Source organism: Homo sapiens, chromosome 11, assembly GCF_000001405.40.
Source record: "Homo sapiens chromosome 11, GRCh38.p14 Primary Assembly".
Classification (NCBI taxonomy): domain Eukaryota; kingdom Metazoa; phylum Chordata; class Mammalia; order Primates; family Hominidae; genus Homo; species Homo sapiens.
In genome coordinates this window covers 66030861-66049668 of record NC_000011.10, presented here as the reverse complement: position 1 = coordinate 66049668, position 18808 = coordinate 66030861, and the positions used below count along the sequence as shown (strand labels likewise).

Below are 18808 nucleotides of genomic sequence, written 5' to 3'. Positions count from 1 at the left end.
GGGTATGGGGGACACGCTGGAAGGGAAGGGGGCATGTGGGCAGAGATGGGACCAGACAAGGCTGGAGCACTGCTTCTCTACTGGAGGAGGACAGAGGATGTGAGTACCTGCACGTGTACCAGCATCTGGCTCACCCAGAAGCCCACGTATGACCGGCGGTGCCCCAGAATACCCAGCAATGCAGGAGTATCCAGACACCTTCCCGGCCTCAGTTTCCCTGCCTGAGTGAGAGAAGGGAGCTGGCCACATTAGTGTCCAACTCTGCAAGGTTGCCAGAGTAAGACAACTGCATCTGAAGATGCCACCCAGAGACTGTTCACGGCAGCCAGCGGGCAAGCCAGGGAACCACCCCCCCTCCCCCGTCCCCCTTCCTTTCCCCTCTCTCCCCTCTCCCCTACTTGCTCGTGGCCTGGCCCCGCCCCTCGCCTTCCTCCGGTGTGCGATGGGGGGCGGGGGGCGGGGGGCGGGCAGAGCCGGGAGGAGCGAGCCTAGCGGACGCTGCCACCTGATCCCATCCAGGCGCTGAGAGGCAAGCCACCGGCACTCGGCGCGCAGGGCCCCGGGCACCCTCGGACCCCGTGCGGATTTCGAGACAAGGGTCCAGAGATAGCGGCGGCCGCCCCCAACCCGGGCCAGAGGCAGAGCCCAGGCGTGCGGTGTGAGTACTGCAGTGGCCGGCATGGGGTTGGAGGGGTGGGAGTGGACCAGACCGGGATGGGGGCCGAGAGGCGGGCGGGAGAGTGTCTTGGGGGCCTAGTGGTTGGAAAGCATGAGGAGGGGGGCGCTCTACCCCTGGAAAGTGGGAGAAGATAGGGTGAGCGGGCCAATCTGGCCTATCCCCTATGGTGATCAGATCCCACTGGCAGGATCCCTGGGGGATGCTGGGATGAAATTGAGGGAGTGGGAGGTATGGTGCGGGTGGGCAGTAATGGAGACAGGAGGATGGAGGGAATTCCAAGGCAGGGATGATGCGGGGGTGGATGAGAGAGAGAGGAGGCTGGGGGGCCAGGGGCAGACCTGGTGCAGGCTGGGGGGTGGGGGAGGAGGAAAAAGAGGGAGGTGGAAAGATTTGCTCTCCCAGGCCAGTACTTTGCAGACCCCCTCAGCCCTTCGCCCCTCCTCTGGAGCACCCTGGGTCAGCGTCCCTCAACACTGGGCTGTCCCATCCCTCAAGTCAGGACAGGATGGAGTCTCCGGGCCATCCAGCAGTCAGGTCCAAGTGGTCCAGTCCAGGGCACCCCTTCCTCTAAGTGCATCGGTTTCAGCTCTAGAGCTCAGAGGAGACAGAGGAGAAAGGGCTCCTTTAGGAGGGTGGGCACCCCGGCCCATTTTCAAAGCTTTGGTCGGCTCTACTATTTCTTTGGTTCCCTGGAGAAAAGCTAGCAATTTGCAAAACTGGGCAGCAGCGTGAGGTAGATTGTTCTGACTAAAATTAGCACTGACATTCTGATGAGCCTGGGCGTCCTGACCTGCCTGGGATAGCTGGGAGAACTCTCTCTATGGAGAAGACACCAGGCACAATGGGGAGTCGTGTGAAGCATCTGAGGGCAGGAGCCAGGGCCACTGCTCTAAAGCACAGCTCCAGCAGCACCATCATGCACCCCACACCAGCCAGAAAATCCGATGGAAACCCAGCCCAGTGGCCCCCTCCCTGAGAGGCACTGCCTTGGCCCCATCTCCAAAACAGGCATCTTGGAGTCAAATTGCCAAGGGAAGGCAGGCCTCCCACAGTGTCCGAGCAGCACCCTCTCTCAGGACCTGGAATGTTTAGCCTGGCCGAGTGCCCACCCAGAGGAGACAGGGTTACTGCTTCCAAATACCTGAAGGTCTGTCATGGAGAAAAATGTTCTATGTGCTCTAGGAGGGCAGCACTACCAAGAGTGCAGAATGGGAGGTGTAAGGGGCAGGCCGAAGCAGGTGCTACCACTGGCAGGGTAATCCTGGCTGTCCCGGAAAGAACCTGAACAAGCTGTAAGTTGCTCAGAAATGGACCAGGCTGTATCAGGAGGTGATGAACACCCTGTCATTGACAGTGGCCATACAGAAGCTGGTGCCCGCCTTCAGGGGCTGGTGTCCAGGGAATTCCTGCACTGAGGATGCCCTGTCCCCTGTCCCTAAGCAGGCCTCAGACTGGGGCCTGGCTAGCTCCCCAGAGCTCAGCCATGTAGGGAAGTGGGGAAAGGCCCAAGAGTGGGACAGAGGGGGATACCAGGCACCTGTCACTCTCTCTGTGCGGCCAGTAGAAGCTCTGCCCTCGGGAAAGGTCCCCCATAGCTAGGCTTGACTTCCTTGGCTGACCCTGAATCCTCTGAGAAATAGGGTGGTTTCTGCAAGTTTAGCAAAGGTGGATGTAGACTCCCCTCTTCCCATCTTGGGACACTTCTGTCTAATCACCAAGTTCTCTAAGCAGCAGGAGTGACAGAGGAAAAAGGTGTGTATCCTTAGAGGGCCAAGGGCTCTCACTTCCTCCTGCAAGCAGCCCCAGCCAGGCCAGGCCAGCCCTTCTCTGCCCCAGCAATCCTTGAAGAGACAGGGAGGGCCTTAGACTTCCTCTGCTGTGCCCTTGGTTACCCTCTGTGGCTGGACCCTTTACCCTTGGCTCCGGCCGGATTAAGTCTGTCTGCAGGCAGGTGGAGGGAAGCAGCGATAAGGCCTAGAGAGAAGGGGAGGCATAAACAGAACATCTTTCCACCCAAACAGGTTTAAATGTAATCCAGGATTAAGGGAGCAGGGTCAAGAAGAGAGACTGGAAGCCAAGCCCAGGGCTCCCAGAAAAGGTGATGATCAAAAGGGTTTTCATATTACCTTACCCCTCCTGGGACCCAGGTGTCCTAGTTCCACATGCACATGCCCATCAGGTTCCAGGCTCCCCCTCCCCCGTGGAGAAGGATATGTGTGAGGGCTGAAGCTAAACTTGAACCTGGAGACTGAGGCCCCACCCTAGCTTGGGGACAGGCATCACTGCTGAAGTGGACTTTCCACGGGAGCTGCCCAGGATTGGGCTGCCCTTAAGCCAAGGCATTCCTGTGGGGAAAGGAGACTTGTGTGTGACCAAGCCCTCCTCCCCTCTCTTACTCCTGGGCTTACCTGGGATGGAAGCTCACCTTCTCCTGGAGATCCTCCGTAGGGCAACAAGCAGGAGCCACCTCTTACCCAACCCACACCCCGCCCAGGCTGCCATCTCATTGCTTTGGTCAGGCACTTTTCCCTGCAGAGTCAGCTGATGGGGCCGCCTGGGTTTCAGGTGTCTGGGGATGGAATCCAGATAGGGCTCCAGGATTTCAAGACCTTCCTTTCCCTCATGAATTTCTCAGTCTTGGGCCCTCAGGGCAGGAGCCCAGCTAGGAGCGCTCAGGACTCAGAAGGATGCAGAATTGCCAGAGTCTAGGGCAAGGTTGGGGAAACCAGTTCTCTACAGAAATAGCATATACAGTGTCTAAGGGCATGGACTTTGGAGCCAGAAACAGCAGGTATGAATCTCATTTCTACTGTTACCAGCTGTGTAGCTATGGACAAGTGATATAATCTCTTAGAGCCTCAGTTTCCTTATCTATACAGTGGGAATAATACCTAGGTCAGGGCTGTGGTGAGGACTAAATGGGATTAAGTATGTAATAATACAGTACATAGAGTAAGCCTGCAGTATCGACTCAAAGCCATATCGATCCAAGGAGGTGAAGGCCTGATCAGTGTTTCCGAGGAGCTCGGTTTCTCTGGGGAGTCAGGACCAACCCTGGGCTAAAGCAATTGGGCAAGGAGTCCTGGAGGAGAGGAAACTTTGAGTTGAGACCTCTATGTTCTGAGCCAAGCCCTGGCGCTAAAGCCACTCCACTGGGGAGACATGTACAAATAACCATGAGACAAAGACGAGTTAGGAGCAGGCAGAGAGACAGAGACAGGGCTGAGGGATGGGAGTGGCTACAGCCTGAAGGGCTGGCTACACCCCAGACCCTGTAATTCCACCCAAGACTAAGTTATCTGGAGCAGTGAGGAGATAGGGTCTTGATAACGGGAGGTAGGAATCCGATCTGCCCTGGCCTCTCTGCTTACCCCACCTGTTGGAGCTCTTTGCATCAGACCTGCTGGGGGCCAGATCCCATCTCCTCTGCCCACTGCAAACCCGTCTGCCTTCTTCTGCCAGGCTTCTCGGGAACACTGGCCCTGCTACCAGAGCCGCAGGATCCCCCATGAGTGCCTGTGAAGGGAGTCCTGGATAGTGAGGCCCTGGCTGGTCCAGGGGTGGGTACTCCGCCATGCCACCCATCCTCCAGCGCCTGCAGCAGGCCACCAAGATGATGAGCCGCCGGAAAATCCTGCTGCTGGTGCTAGGGTGCAGCACCGTAAGCCTTCTCATCCACCAGGGGGCGCAGCTCAGCTGGTAAGGGGGCGGGGCCCCAGGGGGGCCGGAGCTCCCCTCCCCATTCTTCCACCTGCTAGAAGGGTCCTGCTAGGCTTTGCTCCTCCCCTCTATTCTGAAAGTGCTTTCCCTTTAGGGCCACACAGCCTCCCTGGACAGGGACTGCTCTTCAATGAAAGGGCTGAGTGACTTGCTCAAAGTTACAGAATCAGTTAGCTGAGATCCGAATCCAGCTCAACTCCCCACAGCATGCAGCTAAGCATTTCCCCAGTGGAAACAACTTCTCACAACTTCCGTAGTGCTGGGCAAGGCCAAGTCCCCTCACTTCTCCGAGCCCCCGTTTTCTCATCTATAAAGTGAGACATGATATGTGTGACACAGCCAGTCACCCTCACACAGGATACCATGTGATTCATGGGAACCCCAACCCTACTCCTGACTCACTGTGTGAACCCAACAAATCCCTGCACCTCTCGGAGACTTCATGTCCCCATTTTCTACACTGTCTGCCCCTGAGAATGGTGTGAATGCGCCCAGCCCCCCTTGCCAGATAATTTGGTTTGAAATCCCAAACACCCATGTTTTAAGAATGAAGCAACAGAAATGAAAGCTTCACGAGGGCTAGGATTGTTTTTGTATATTACTGTATTTCTTGAACCTAGCATTAACCTGGCACATAGTGGACACCCAAAAAATATTTGATGACTGAATTAATGAGGCTTTAGAAGCCTCAAGAGAAACATAACAATGGGTTGCTGCAAAGCCCAGTGCCAACCATCTACAAAGTGAGGAGCCAGTTAAAGAGTAAAAATGAGAAAGAGCAAAAGGATTTAGTGACCATGTGAGTCGTCTCCAGACTTTGTGTAAGTGATTGTTCTCCTTTTGGCCCTCAGTTTCTACATATACAAAGTGGGATTCCTCAAAGATCTCCAGGGGTCTTTGTCCCTTATTTATTTCTACATAAACAAATTATCTTAAAGCTTAGCAGCTGAAAACACAAACATCTGTTATTTTGGGTCAGGAAGCCAGGTGTGGCTTACTGGGAACTTCTGGACCAAGGTCTTTCATGGGGTTGCAACCAAGGTGTTTGCTGGTGATGCAGTCTCATCCGAAGGCTTGATTGGAAGGGATCAGCTTCCAAGCTCACTCACGTGGTTTTGACAGGCTTCAGGTCTTCAAGCCGGCTGGTGGACTGAGGGCCTTAGGTCCTTGTGGGCTTTTCCCACTTAGTGGTAGCTCCCTATAGGGCTGCCCACTATATGGCAGCTTGCTTCCCCCATCATCTGTCATCCCAGATTGAGTGAAAGACACCAAGATACTAGCCAGCCACAGTCTTTCTATGATGAAATTTAAGAAGTGACATCCCATCATTTCTGCCCTCTTCTCTTCTTTAGATGCAATGATAAGTCCAGCCTAACTCAGGTGAGGGGAATACTCAAGGGCATGAATACCAGGAGGGCAGCAGGGATCATAGAGGGCATCTTAGAGGCTACCAAGCACCGCCCTCGACCTTTCCATGAGTGCAGCCCAGGCGGGGCCGCGCTGTGGGGCATCCCACAGTCCTTGGGTAAGGGCAGGGGTCAAGCGGCAGCCCCCTCACACCCTCCTCTCCGCACACTCCCTGGGCCTGGCAGGTACCCCAAGCTGTTCCCCTTGAGCTGCCCTCCTCTGCGGAACTCGCCGCCGCGCCCCAAGCACATGACTGTGGCCTTCCTGAAGACTCACAAGACGGCAGGCACGACGGTGCAGAACATCCTGTTTCGCTTTGCCGAGCGCCACAACCTGACGGTGGCCCTGCCGCACCCGAGCTGCGAGCACCAGTTCTGCTACCCCCGCAACTTCTCGGCGCACTTCGTGCACCCGGCCACGCGGCCGCCGCACGTGCTGGCCAGCCACCTGCGCTTCGACCGTGCGGAGCTGGAGCGCCTCATGCCGCCCAGCACCGTCTATGTCACCATCCTGCGCGAGCCGGCCGCCATGTTCGAGTCGCTCTTCAGCTACTACAACCAGTACTGCCCGGCCTTCCGGCGCGTACCCAACGCCTCGCTCGAGGCCTTCCTGCGCGCGCCCGAGGCATACTACCGCGCTGGCGAGCACTTCGCCATGTTCGCACACAACACGCTGGCCTACGACCTGGGCGGCGACAATGAGCGCAGCCCGCGCGACGACGCCGCCTACCTGGCGGGCCTCATCCGCCAGGTGGAGGAGGTTTTCTCGCTCGTCATGATCGCCGAGTACTTCGACGAGTCGCTAGTGCTGCTGCGGCGCCTACTGGCCTGGGACCTGGACGACGTGCTCTACGCCAAGCTCAACGCGCGCGCCGCCAGCTCGCGCCTGGCCGCCATCCCCGCGGCGCTGGCGCGGGCGGCGCGCACCTGGAACGCCCTGGACGCCGGCCTCTACGACCACTTCAACGCCACCTTCTGGCGCCACGTGGCGCGCGCGGGCCGCGCGTGCGTGGAGCGCGAGGCGCGCGAGCTGCGCGAGGCCCGCCAGCGCCTACTGCGGCGCTGCTTCGGGGACGAGCCACTGCTGCGGCCTGCCGCGCAGATCCGCACCAAGCAGCTGCAGCCGTGGCAGCCCAGCCGCAAGGTGGACATTATGGGCTATGACCTGCCCGGCGGCGGCGCCGGCCCGGCCACCGAGGCCTGCCTCAAGCTGGCCATGCCCGAGGTCCAGTACTCGAACTACCTGTTGCGCAAGCAGAAGCGCCGGGGCGGTGCGCGGGCTCGGCCCGAGCCCGTCCTGGACAATCCCCCGCCTCGGCCCATCCGAGTGCTGCCTCGCGGCCCTCAAGGTCCCTGAGCTCCGCAGGCCTCCAGGAGTATGGGTCCTGCCCTGCCCTCCCAGGAGTCCAGCCAGGGGCTGCCTCCATGTCCTGCCCCCATGAGAGCCCTTTCTTTTCAAGGGGCTTGAGTCCCTCGCTGAACTTTGGGGTACGCCTCCCTATCTGAGCCCCCGCTCCCGATCGTGGGCTGAACCTTGCCTTCGGGCACGGCGCTGATAGGCTGGATCCAGCGCTGGGCCACCCTCTCCTTCCCAGCTGGTTGGTGATTTTGACAAGAGGCCTGAGGGCTGTCCAGAACTGCTCACCCTGCCTTTTTCTGGGGGCTGAGCCCCCACAACCTGTCTTTTCCAAGTGGATAAGCCCAGGCCCCATGGAGAGAGGCTCAGCCCTAGGGAAAGGCTGCTCTTGCTCTCCCTCCCAGGGCTTGAGGCTCCCTATACTTTTCTGTCTTCCAGGTTCTACCCTCCCCACAGACCTAAGCTGCTCCCAGTCTCCCAGAACCAAGAGTTCTTGGGTTGGGATTTTTGTTTGGTTGGTTTTTCTTTTTTTTAATAAAACATCTTTAAAATGTGCGAGTTGTATGTCAGTCATAGAAGCCGGATTCCCCACATTTGAGGATGAAACGGATGCCCAGGAGGAGCTGTGGCTGGACCCATGAGGATGGGGGCCTGGACTCAAGGTCCCCCGCCACCTGGCATAGGCCTACAACCCTCCTCAACCGCTTGACCGACTGGGCCCCCAACACAGACTGGCCACCTTAGCCCCACTCACTTTCCACATCGTTCTTTTTCACAAAATTCTGCGACATTTACTGAGCATCATCTCTGTAACTTGGGGATACAGGTGAACCAGATAGATAGGGCCTTATTTTCATGGAGCTTATGGGGAAACATTGGAACAGGAGCAAGACAGGTAAGCAAAGAGGAAGGACTGGAGGGGTTAGAGCACAACACCTCTTTGGGTGGAAGGAGGATCATTTTCAGATAAGGAGCTGCCTAACTCAGAATTTGACCTCCTCCTGTGAATCACTGACTTCACTAATGGCCTGCTTTCCTCACAAGAAGACAACTTGGACTCAGATGAAGACCAGTCCCTTTCTGCAGTTTCCTTTAACACAGCAAGATAGCCAGCACTTCCAGGTGAAATCTCCCTTAAGACTAGCAGAGAATTGGAACTTTTTCTGTTACTTTCTTCAGAGCTATATCGACGTATCTGGACAAGTGATAAAAAACAATAGCTATTATGGTCTACGGTGTGCCAGCCACTGTTTAAGGGCTTTATGTATGTTAACTTTGGAGATGGGTGCCGTTTTCCAGGTGAGGGAACTGAAACTTGGGGGAAATTAAGTCAGGGTCACACAGCCAGAAAGTGGCCACTAGGATCTCAACCAAGGCAGTGTGGCTTCAGAGTTTGTGCTCACAAGTGCTGTCTGTAGTGCCATTCAAATAAAAAAGGTCACATGCCACAAGCTAGGCTGATTCCCAGCACCTTCCCCCAAAAGAATGTAAAGGGAAGAACCAGGACACTGCTATCAGCAACTCTTTATCCAGTTTTTCATGGAGACAACGGTTGACCTGTTTGGACAATGGACATTACAGTGATTGATTGGCAGGATGCATGACACGCTGGGCTTGAAAAGGGACTGTTTGTATGGCACCCCACTTTTTACCAGCAGAGCTCTGAAAAAGGCAATAATTAGAATCATGCAAAAGCATAATTAAGTTTCTGACATTAAGCAGCAGTAAAGAATTGTACCAGACTCAAAGTGATCTATCCAAAAACAGGTGTCCTCTGGCCCCCAGCCAATAAGGTGCTTGCCATTGTCTCCATCTGCACCCCCAGCCCTAGCCTCTGGTCATACCTCTGCCAGGAAAATCCTTCACCTTGCCCTCAGTTGGCCTGGAAAATTCAGACGTGCCTTTAAGTCTACTTTTTTTTTTTCTAGACAGTCTCACTCTGTCACCCAGTCTGGAGTGCAGTGGTGCAATCTCGGCTCACTGCAACCTCCACCTCCTGGGTTCAAGTGATTCTCCTGCCTCAGCCTCCTAAGTAGCTGGGATTACAGGTGTCTACCACCACGCCTGGCTAATTTTTGTATTTTTAGTAGAGACGGGGATTGGCCATGTTGGACAGGCTGGTCTCAAACTCCTGACCTCAGGTGATCTGCCCACCTTGGCCTCCTAAAGTGCTGGGATTACAGGCGTGAGCCACCATGCCCGGCCAAGTCTACTTTGATAAGTGTCCTAGTTCATTATGTGTTGCCATAAAGGAGTGACTGAGGCTGGGTAAAGAAAAAGGTTTATTTGACTCAATCCTGATGACTAGAAAGTTCAGGATTGGTATCTGTATCTGGCGAGGGTCTCAGGCTGCTTCCGCTCGGGAGCCCAAGTATGCAGAGACCACAGGGTGAGAGAGGAAGCAAGGGGGTCAGAGGAGGTGCCAGGTCTTTTTAACAACCAGCTCTTGGAACTAAGAGTGAAAAAACTCACTTATCCCCCAGGAAGGGCATTAATCTTTTCATGAGGAATCCATACCCATGAGCCAAACACCTCCCCCAATTAGGCCCACCTCCAACATTGGGGATCAAATGTCAACATGAGGTTTAAGGGACAAACAGCCAAACCACTGCAATAGGCCTCCCCTGGCCTCCCTGGCCCTCAGGCAGGCGGGCCCTCCTTTAAAAACCTTGCCCTGCTTCAGCAGAGAGCACAACTCTGGCCTCAGAAAAATCTGGAATCAGGGGCAAATGGAATCATCAGGCACTAGGAGAGGGTGCTCTGTTTGACTCAGGGGCAAGGGCAAATCCTAAAGCTGAGCAGGGGCTCTGGAACTCTTTGGTGGGAACATCTCCAGCTTCAGCCACAAGCCAGGGGAACAGGCCTCAGCCCCTAGGACTCCTGCAAAGAGGCTCCTTCCACCAACAAACACTTGGTGCTGCCTACCTCTGTGCCTACTCCGAACAGTGCCAGAGCTTTGGCAGTGAGTGAAAAGTGGTCCCTGCCTTGAGGAGCTTACCCTAAGGTCTAGAGACGATGTGGAGGCAGTAAACCTGGCCAACGGTGACTCGATGGGGATGATCTTGCCTAATGATTAAACACTGGGGCTCTGGAGTTCAAACCCTGGCTCTGCCATCTACCAGTTACATACTTTGAACTTAGCCTTTGAGCCTCACTTTCCTCACCTGTGAAATAAGCAGGCCCCTAGTACAGGGCCTGGCACACAGAGGCTCTCCCAAGATGGCATCTCTGGTTTCATCAGGACTCCTCCAGGGTCAACACCTTTCATGTTACAGATGCTATAGTTTGACACATCTATTACAAGAGTTTTTCAGCAGATGGAAGAAAGCATTTTGAGGAAGGGGTGATTTCTTCTACTTTCCCCACAGCCATGGTATGGGCTATGAGCAGCCTTGATTTTTTTTTTTTTTTTGAGACAGGGTCTCACTGTGTTGCCCAGGCTGGAGTGCAGTGGCATGATCATAGCTCACGGCAGCCTCGAACTCAAGTGATCCTCCCATCTCAGCCTCCCAAGTAGCTGGGACTATAGGCTCATGCCACCATACCCAGCTAATTATTTACTCTTTTTTGTAGAGACAGGGTTCTCAGTATGTTGCTCAGGCTGGTCTCAAACTCCTGGACTCAAGTGATCCTCCCGCCTCAGCCTCCCAAATTGCTAGGATTACAGGTGTGAGCCACTGCACTCAGCCTTGTCATTCTTTTCTTTGAATAAATGTGACTTTTGAGGCAAAAAAAAAAAAAGGAACAACGAACATTTAAGACACTTTTTTTCTTTGGGTGGGGGTGCGCTCTTGCCCCAGATGCCATCTGTTCTCTCAAAAAACATTTATCCATTTCTCCTGATCCCAGCTGAATTCCTCTGAGAATGATTCAAAAGGCCATACAGTGTCAGTCAGTCTCATTTGCTGGGCCAAATCAGGAGGAGATTTTAAAATAATTTTTCTAAAACTTGGGATTGTTTTGCCTGGGATGCTGGCATAAGTGGAATGTCCAGAGATGACCAGCAGGGGAGGCCAGGCTGTCCCCAGAGCTGAGGAAGTCACTGTCTCTGTCCATCTGCAGCCGTGGCATGTAAGGACAGCTCTCTGGTTGGTGATGGGGAGCCACTGAGGTAAGCAGGAGAAAGGCCTTTAGTAACAAGCTGCATGGCCAGGTGCAGTGGCTCATGCCTGTAATCCCAGCACTTTGGGAGGCCAAGTGGGGGTGGATCACTTGAAATCAGGAATTTGAGACCAGCCTGGCCAACATGGTGAAACCCCATCTCTACTAAAATACAAAATTAGCTGGGTGTGGTTGTGCATGCCTGTAATCCCAGCTACTCAGGAGGCTAAGGCAGGAGAATGCCTTGAACCCAGGAAGCAGAGGTTGCAGACAGCCGAGATTGTGCCACTGCACTCCAGCCTGGGTGACAGAGAGAGACTCCATCCAAAAATAAAAGCTGCAAATGCCACTGAGAGAAGGCACGTTAATAAGAACAATGCTACTAACTTTTACTGAGCACTTACTCTATTAGGCTGTTTTTGCATTGCTATGAAGAAATACGTGAGTCTGGGTAATTAAAGAAAACAGGTTTGATTGGGGCTGGGCACAGTGGCTCATGCCTGTAATCCCAGCACTTTGGGAGGCTGAGGCGGGTGGATCACGAGGTCAGGAGATCAAGACCATCCTGGCTAACACAGTGAAACCCCGTCTCTATTAAAAATACAAAAAAATTAGCCAGGCATGGTGGCAGGCACCTGTAGTCCCAGCTACTCGGGAGGCTGAGGCAGGAGAATGCCGTGAACCCAGGAGGTGGAGCTTGCAGTGAGCTGAGATCAGCCACTGCACTCCAGCCTGGGCTACAAAGTGGAAAAGAAAAAGAAAAGAAAAGAAAATAGTTTTGATTGGCTCCCAGTTCTGCAGGCTGTACAGGCATGGTGCTGACATCTGCTCGGCTTCTGAGGAGGCCTCAGTAAGCTTACAATTGTGTGAAAGGTGAAGTGGAAGCAAGCATATCACATGCCAGAAGCAGGAACAAGGTCAATGCCCTCTGAGGGGAGGTGCCACACACTTTCAAACAACCAGATCACTGTGAACTCAGAGCAAGAACTCGCCGATCACCAAGGGGATGGCACCAAGCCATTAATGAGGGATCTACCCCATGATCCAAACATCTCCCACCAGGCCCCACCTCCAGCACTGGAGATCACATTTCAACATGAGATCTGGGCGGGTGGGGGGGACACACAGCCAAACCATATCACTTACTATATGCTAGGTCAGTGGTCCCCAATGTTTTTGGCACCAGGGACTGGCTTTGTGGAAGAGAATTTGTCCGTGGTGTGAGGGGTTAAGGGGGATGGTTTTGGGATGAAACTGTTCCACCTCAGATCATCAGGCATTAGATTTTCATAAGGAGTGCACAACCTAAATCCCCCGCACATGCAGTTCACAATAGGGGGTTCACACTCCTAAGAGAATCTAATGGTGATCTGACAGGAGGCAGAGCTCAGGTGGTAACGTCCATGGCCTGGGGGTTGGGGACCCCTGTGCTAGGTGCTCTTCTCTACACTTTATGTATTTTAACTTACTCGATTTTTTTTTTTTTTTTGAGATGGAGTTGCGCTCTATCGCCCAGGTTGGAGTACAGTGGCATGATCTCGGCTCACTGCAACTTCTGCCGCTCAGGTTCAAGTGATTCTCCTGCCTGAGCCTCCCGAATAGCTGGGATTACAGGCACCCACCACCACACCTGGCTAATTTTTGCATTTTTAATGGACACAGGGTTTCACCATATTGGCCAGGCTGGTCTCAAACTCCTGGCCTCAAGCGATCCACCTGCCTTGGACCCTCAAAGTGCTGGGATTACAGGCATGAGCCACCAGGCCCAGCCAACTTACTTGATTTTTACAACACCCTAAGAGGTAGCTGTTACTCTTCTCTCCCTCTTTTATTTATTTTAGAGACAGGGTCTCACTTGTCACACAAGTCTCAGCTACTCGGAGGGGGCAGTGGTGCAATCGTGACTCACTGCAGCCGTAAACTCCCAGGCTCAAGCAATCCTCCCTCAGACTCCTGAGTAGCTGGGATTATAGGCAGGTACCACTAAACACCCAGCTATATCCCCTCTTGTAGAAGAGGAAACTGAGATACAAAAAGTTGAAGTGCCCAGGCTCATACAGCCGGGAGAAGCTGAGCTAGGACAGAAACCAGACTGCTCAGGCTCCAAAGCCCAGGTCCTCCCACCATAATACATTACCCGACCCCGTGAAACACCCTCCCAGCCATCCCTGCAGGCTCCTTATTAAACAGCCTCATTATAAAAGCCTCCTGGGAGCAGGTTTGAGTGGGAGGGAGAGGCAGAGAGCCCAAGTTCTTTGGGAGCCCAAGGTGAGGTGAGGCAAAGAGAGAGAAGCTGGTGCTCTGCCAACACAACCGGGCAGCTTCCCAGAATGGGCCAGAGGCGTGCAGAGGGGCTGTGGGGCAGAGGTGCCTGAAGAAAGGGGCTAGACAGTCAGTCCCAGCCAGAGAAGGGCATGGAGAAGAGGAAGGGGAGCCCCTCTCTCAACCTCATAGATTCTAGATTAGCTCCTCTGGCCCAGCAGGGCTACAGAAATCTGAGGATCCCTGCCAGCCAATCCTCTTCTCCCCAGCAAGAGTTTCCCTGGTGCCCTCCAGTGGGCAAAGGACAGGACAGGATCACCCTCTGCCACCCCCATCCTCCACCTTCATCCCAATCTCATGGGATTGCTACAACGCAACAGAGGGCGAAGGAGTCAGGCTCTCATACTCCATTACAAATGGGAAGACTCAGCCCGGGCATGGTGGCTCACGCCTGTAATCCCAGAACTTTGGGAGGCCGAGGCAGGTGGATCACTTCAAGTCAGGAGTTTGAGACCAGCCTGGCCAACGTGGTGAAACCCTGTTGCTACTAAAAATACAAAAGTTAGCTGGGCATGGTGGTGCGTGCCTGTAATCCCAGCTATTCGCAAGGCTGGGGCAGGATTGTTTGAACCTGGGAGGCAGAGGTTGCAGTGAGGTGAGATCACGCCACTGCACTCCAGTGCACTCCAGCCTGGGCAACAGAGTGAGACTCCATCTCAATAAGAAAAACAAAAAGCAAAAAAACAAACAAACAAACAAACAAACAAACAAAAACAAATGGGAAGACTGAGAACTAGAGAGGGAATGTGGCTCCCAGAGGTGGCCCAGAGCCAGGGCAGAGCCCTGAGAATAAGGACACCCCCATGAGCTGGGGCCACAGGAGTAGGACCCTGGCTCCTATATCCCAACTCTGTCTCCAGCCCAGGGCTCCCCGCCTGGGTGTCCCCCAGCTTGATCAAACCCACTATTCTCACAACCAAACATCTCATCTTCTACCCAAACTGGCTCCATCTCCAGTCTGTCAGTTTCCATGACTGAAACCCCCCACTCAAGTTGATGCTTGAGCCCAAACCTTGGCACCTCCCAATGCCTCCTTCCCCCTTCCCCTTGTGCCACCTGTCACCACGTCTATAGATTCTGACTCCTGAATAACTGTGACTCTGCACACCTCTTTCCCTACAACATCTGCCTTAATCCAACAGTTTGCCTCGGACGTTCCCCACACCAAACGTGCTTCCCACTCTGTATTCAGGGTGATCCTTGTTAAAGCAATATGATCCTTTCACTCCCCTGTTTGAAACCACCTCTCCCCACGCCAACCTAATCTGATCCCCAAAACCTTCCACCTACATCTCCCATTGCCCCCTACGCCATCATATTCCAGCCACACTGGATTACATTCCATTCCCTGAACACAACGGTATGTCAGGTCAGCCTCTTATTGGCTCTTGAAAGCTGAATTGTGGCCGGGCACGGTGGCTCATGCCTGTAATCCCAGCACTTTGGGAGGCGGAGGCGGGCGGATCACAAGGTCAGGAGATGGAGACCATCCTGGCTAACACGGTGAAACCCCATCTCTATTAAAAATGCAAAAAATTAGCCGGGCGTGGTGGCGGGCGCCTGAAGTCCCAGTTACTTGGGAGGCTGAGGCAGGAGAATGACGTGAACCTGGGAGGCAGAGCTTGCAGTGAGCCAAGATCGCGCCACTGCACTCCAGCCTGGGCAACAGAGCGAGATTTCGTCTCAAAAGAAAAAAAAAAAAAAAAAAAAGAAAGCTGAATTGTGCAAGCCAGTTGTTGGACACAACCATTATTAAAAATTAAATTTTCCTTGGGCGTGGTGGCTCACGCCTGTAATCCCAGCATTTTGGGAGGTCGAGGCAGGTGGATCACTTGAGGTCAGGAGTTTGAGACTAGCCTGGCCAACATGGTGAAATCCCATCTCTACTAAAAATAGAAAACTTAGTTGGGCGTGGTGGCACGTGCCTGTAATCCCAGCTACTCAGGAGGCTGAGGCAGGAGAATTGCTTGAACCCGGGAGGTGGAGGTTACAGTGAGCCAAGATCATACCACTGCACGCCAGGCTGGGCGACAGAGCAAGACTCTGGTGCAAAAAGAAAAAAAAATTAAATTGTATAAAATTACAATTAAATAAATTGTATAAATAATAAAGACAATAGGCCGGGCTCAGTGGCTCGCACCTGTAATCCCAGCACTTTGAGAGGCCGAGGCGAGCGGATCACGAGGTCAGGAGTTCCAGACCAGCCTGACCAACATGATGAAGCCCCGTCTCTACTAAAAATACAAAAATTAGCCAGGCATGGTGGCGTGCGCCTATAATACCAGCTACTCAGGAGGCTGAGGCAGGAGAATCACTTGAACCCGGGAGGTGGAGGTTGCAGTGAGCCAAGATTGCACCACTGCACTACAGCCTGGGCGACAGAGTGAGACTGCGTCTCAAAAAAATAATAAATAAGTAATAAAGACGATAAATACTCAAAACTCATCACTTACTAATTAGTTTACTACAATTTACTTTTTTTTTTTTTTTTTTTGAGACAGGGTTTCACTTCCGTTGCCCAGATGAGTACAGTGGTGAGATCTTGGCTTACTGCAGGCTTGACCTCCCTGGGCTCAGGTGATCCTCCCACCTCAGCCTGGCATCCCTGGTGCCACTCTGTCAGGCTAAATCTTTTTTTTTAGTAGACAGGGTCTTACTATGTTACCCAGGCTAGTCTCAAACTCCTGAGCTCAAGCGATCTGCAGGCGTTGGCCTCCCAAAATGCTGGATTACAGGTGTGAGCCACTGTGCCCAGCCAGTAGTGTGTTATTTACTGCCTATCTCTTCCAGGACAGCACTTGGTGGTGTTACATTGATAGCCTGAAATCAGCCATCGTGAGAGTATTTACACTACAAATCAACAAACATTATACATCAGAGGTTTTATTGATTTGTTGACTGTCTAGACCAGGGATGAGCAAACTACAAGCAAATCTGGCTTACCACCTGTTTTTGTAAATAAAGTTTTATTGGAACACAGCCACATTCATGCATTTACTTCTTGTCTAATGCTGTTTATGCTCTACACTGGCAGAGTTGGGTAACTGCAATAAGATCATATGGCATCCAAAGCCTAAGACATTTACCACTTCGTGGAAGGAGTTTGCTGACCTCTAGCCTGGATTTAAGAAAACACTGGAGGGGCCAGGCACGGTGGCTCATGCCTGTAATCCCAGCACTTTGGGAGGCCAAGGCAGGCAGATTACTTGAGGTCAGGAGTTCGAGACCAGCCTGGCCAACATGGTGAAATCCTGTCTCTACTAAAAATACAAAGATTTGCTGGGCGTCAGATTTGCTGGGCGTCAGGGCAGGTGCCTGTAATCCCAGCTACTTGGGAGGCTGAGGCAGGAGAATTGCTTGAACCTGGGAGGCAGAGGTTGCAGCGAGCCAAGATTGCGCCACTGCACTCTAGCCTGTGCAACACAGTGAAACTCAGTTTTTGTTTTTGTTTTTTTTTTGAGACGGAGTCTCGCTCTGTCACCCAGGTGGGAGTGCAGTGGCGCAATCTTGGCTCACTGCAAGCTCCGCCTCCCGGGTTCACGCCATTCTCCTGCCTCAGCCTCCCGCGTAGCTGGGACTACAGGCGCCTGCCATCACGCCCAGCTATTTTTTTTGTATTTTTAGTAGAGACGGGGTTTCGCCGTGTTAGCCAGGATGGTCTCGATCTCCTGACCTCGTGATCCACCCACCTTGGCCTCCCAAAGTGCTGGGATTACAGGCGTGAGCCACCGTGCCCGGCCGAAACTCAGTTTTTTTAAAAAAAGAAAAGAGGCTGGGCTTGGTGGTTCACGCCTGTAATCTCAGCACTTTGGGAGCACAAGGCGGGTGGATCACCTGAGGTCAGGAGTTCAAGACCAGCCCAGCCAACATGGCGAAACCTCGACTCTACTACAAATACAAGAATTAGCGGGTCGTGGTGGTGGGCACCTGTAATCCCAGCTACTTGGGAGGCTGAGGCAGGAGAATTGCTTGAACCCGGGAGGTGGAGGTTGCAGCAAGCCGAGACTGCATCATTGTACTCCAGCCTGGGTAACAAGAGCAAAACTCCGTCAAAAAAAAAAAAAAAAAAAGCAAAAAGAAAAGGAGGGAAGGAAGGAAGGAAGGAAGGGAGGGACAGACAGACAAGACAAGAGCGCCAAGCATGGTGATTTATGCCTGTAATCCCAGCATTCTAGGAGGCTGAGATGAGAGGATCACTTGAGCCCAGGAGTTTCACACCAGCCTGGTCAACATAGTGAGACCCAGTCTTTACAAAAACAAGGTTTAAAAATTAGCCAGGTGTGATGGTGCATACCTGTAGTACCAGCTACTTGGGAGGCTAAAGGGGGAGGGAGAATTGCTTGAGCTCAGGAGTTTGAGGTTACAGACAGTGGTGAAGGAAAATTCTCCCAGTGGGTGGAACTTTGGGGCAATACATCTGTGGATGCTTTCTGTGGAGGAAAGGTGGCCTAAGGTACAGATTTACATGGACTGGTGAGCAGCATCTGATAGGCTGGCCAGCTGCAGAGACTTTGAAAGAGCACAACTGGCAATCTGATGGCCTAGGAGACAGGACTGTGGCCAGCTTCTCAAAATAGTCACAGGGTGGGAAGATTCCCATATGAAGTGCCCATCAGAGAGCCATCGGTGCAGCAGCCCTCGGTGATGAGATGGGATGACTCATGCTGTAGATTGTGTCAGCCTCTTTACCTGGCCAGACCCAGGCTTTCTCAATGGTCCCATACAGAGTGCTCCACCACCAGATGTCTGCGTGTGCTAGAAAATGGCTGTGCTCAATTGGCCGGGCGCGGTGGCTCACACCTGTAATCCCAGCACTTTGGGAGGCCGAGGCAGACGGATCACTTGAGGTCAGGAGATGGAGACCATCTTGGCTAACACGGTGAAATCCTGTCTCTACCAAAAAAATACAAAAAAATTAGCTAGGCCTAGTGGCGGGCGCCTGTAGTCCCAGCTACTCGGGAGGCTGAGGCAGGAGAATCCCTTGAACCTGGGAGGTGGAGGTTGAGGTGAGCCGAGATCGTGTCACTGCACTCTAGCCTGGGCGACAGAACGAAACTCCGTCTCAAAAAAAAAAAAAAAGAAAGAAAGAAAAGAAAAGAAAATGGCTGTGCTCAGGCCAGGCGCAGTAGCTCATGCCTATAATCCCAGCTACTCGGGAGGCTGAGGCAGGAGAACTTGAACCTGGGAGGCAGAGGTTGCAGTGAGCCAAGATCGCATCATTGC

General features: G+C 53.2%; 1 protein-coding gene across 2 annotated transcripts, besides 2 other annotated features; it reads left to right on the top strand.

Moving 5' to 3' along the window:
• Positions 1 to 507: 507 nt before the first annotated feature.
• On the top strand, positions 508 to 8904 carry GAL3ST3 (galactose-3-O-sulfotransferase 3). Of its 2 annotated transcripts, NM_033036.3 has the most exons (3): positions 508 to 658; positions 4142 to 4378; positions 5992 to 8904. In NM_033036.3, the coding sequence occupies exons 2-3, from the start codon at positions 4254 to 4256 to the stop codon at positions 7160 to 7162; spliced, it is 1296 nt and encodes a 431-aa protein (NP_149025.1). In that variant the 5' UTR covers positions 508 to 658; positions 4142 to 4253; the 3' UTR covers positions 7163 to 8904. The 2 variants fall into 2 exon arrangements, with proteins under 2 accessions (NP_149025.1, XP_016874008.1); XM_017018519.2 differs by lacking the exon at positions 508 to 658 and having other exon boundaries at positions 4298 to 4378; positions 5752 to 7717.
• Positions 4027 to 4226: an enhancer, noted in NCBI's record as "active region_5026". NCBI's record gives its function as "activates an Ori minimal core promoter by ATAC-STARR-seq in GM12878 lymphoblastoid cells {active_cell/tissue: GM12878}" and the evidence as "EXISTENCE:reporter gene assay evidence [ECO:0000049][PMID:35858748]".
• Positions 4337 to 4386: a silencer, noted in NCBI's record as "silent region_3570". NCBI's record gives its function as "represses an Ori minimal core promoter by ATAC-STARR-seq in GM12878 lymphoblastoid cells {active_cell/tissue: GM12878}" and the evidence as "EXISTENCE:reporter gene assay evidence [ECO:0000049][PMID:35858748]".

What these genes read in the sequence shown, in the direction of transcription:
- GAL3ST3 (XM_017018519.2), top strand. Translation starts at nt 5,801, where the DNA reads ATGAATACCAGGAGGGCAGCAGGGATCATAGAGGGCATCTTAGAGGCT.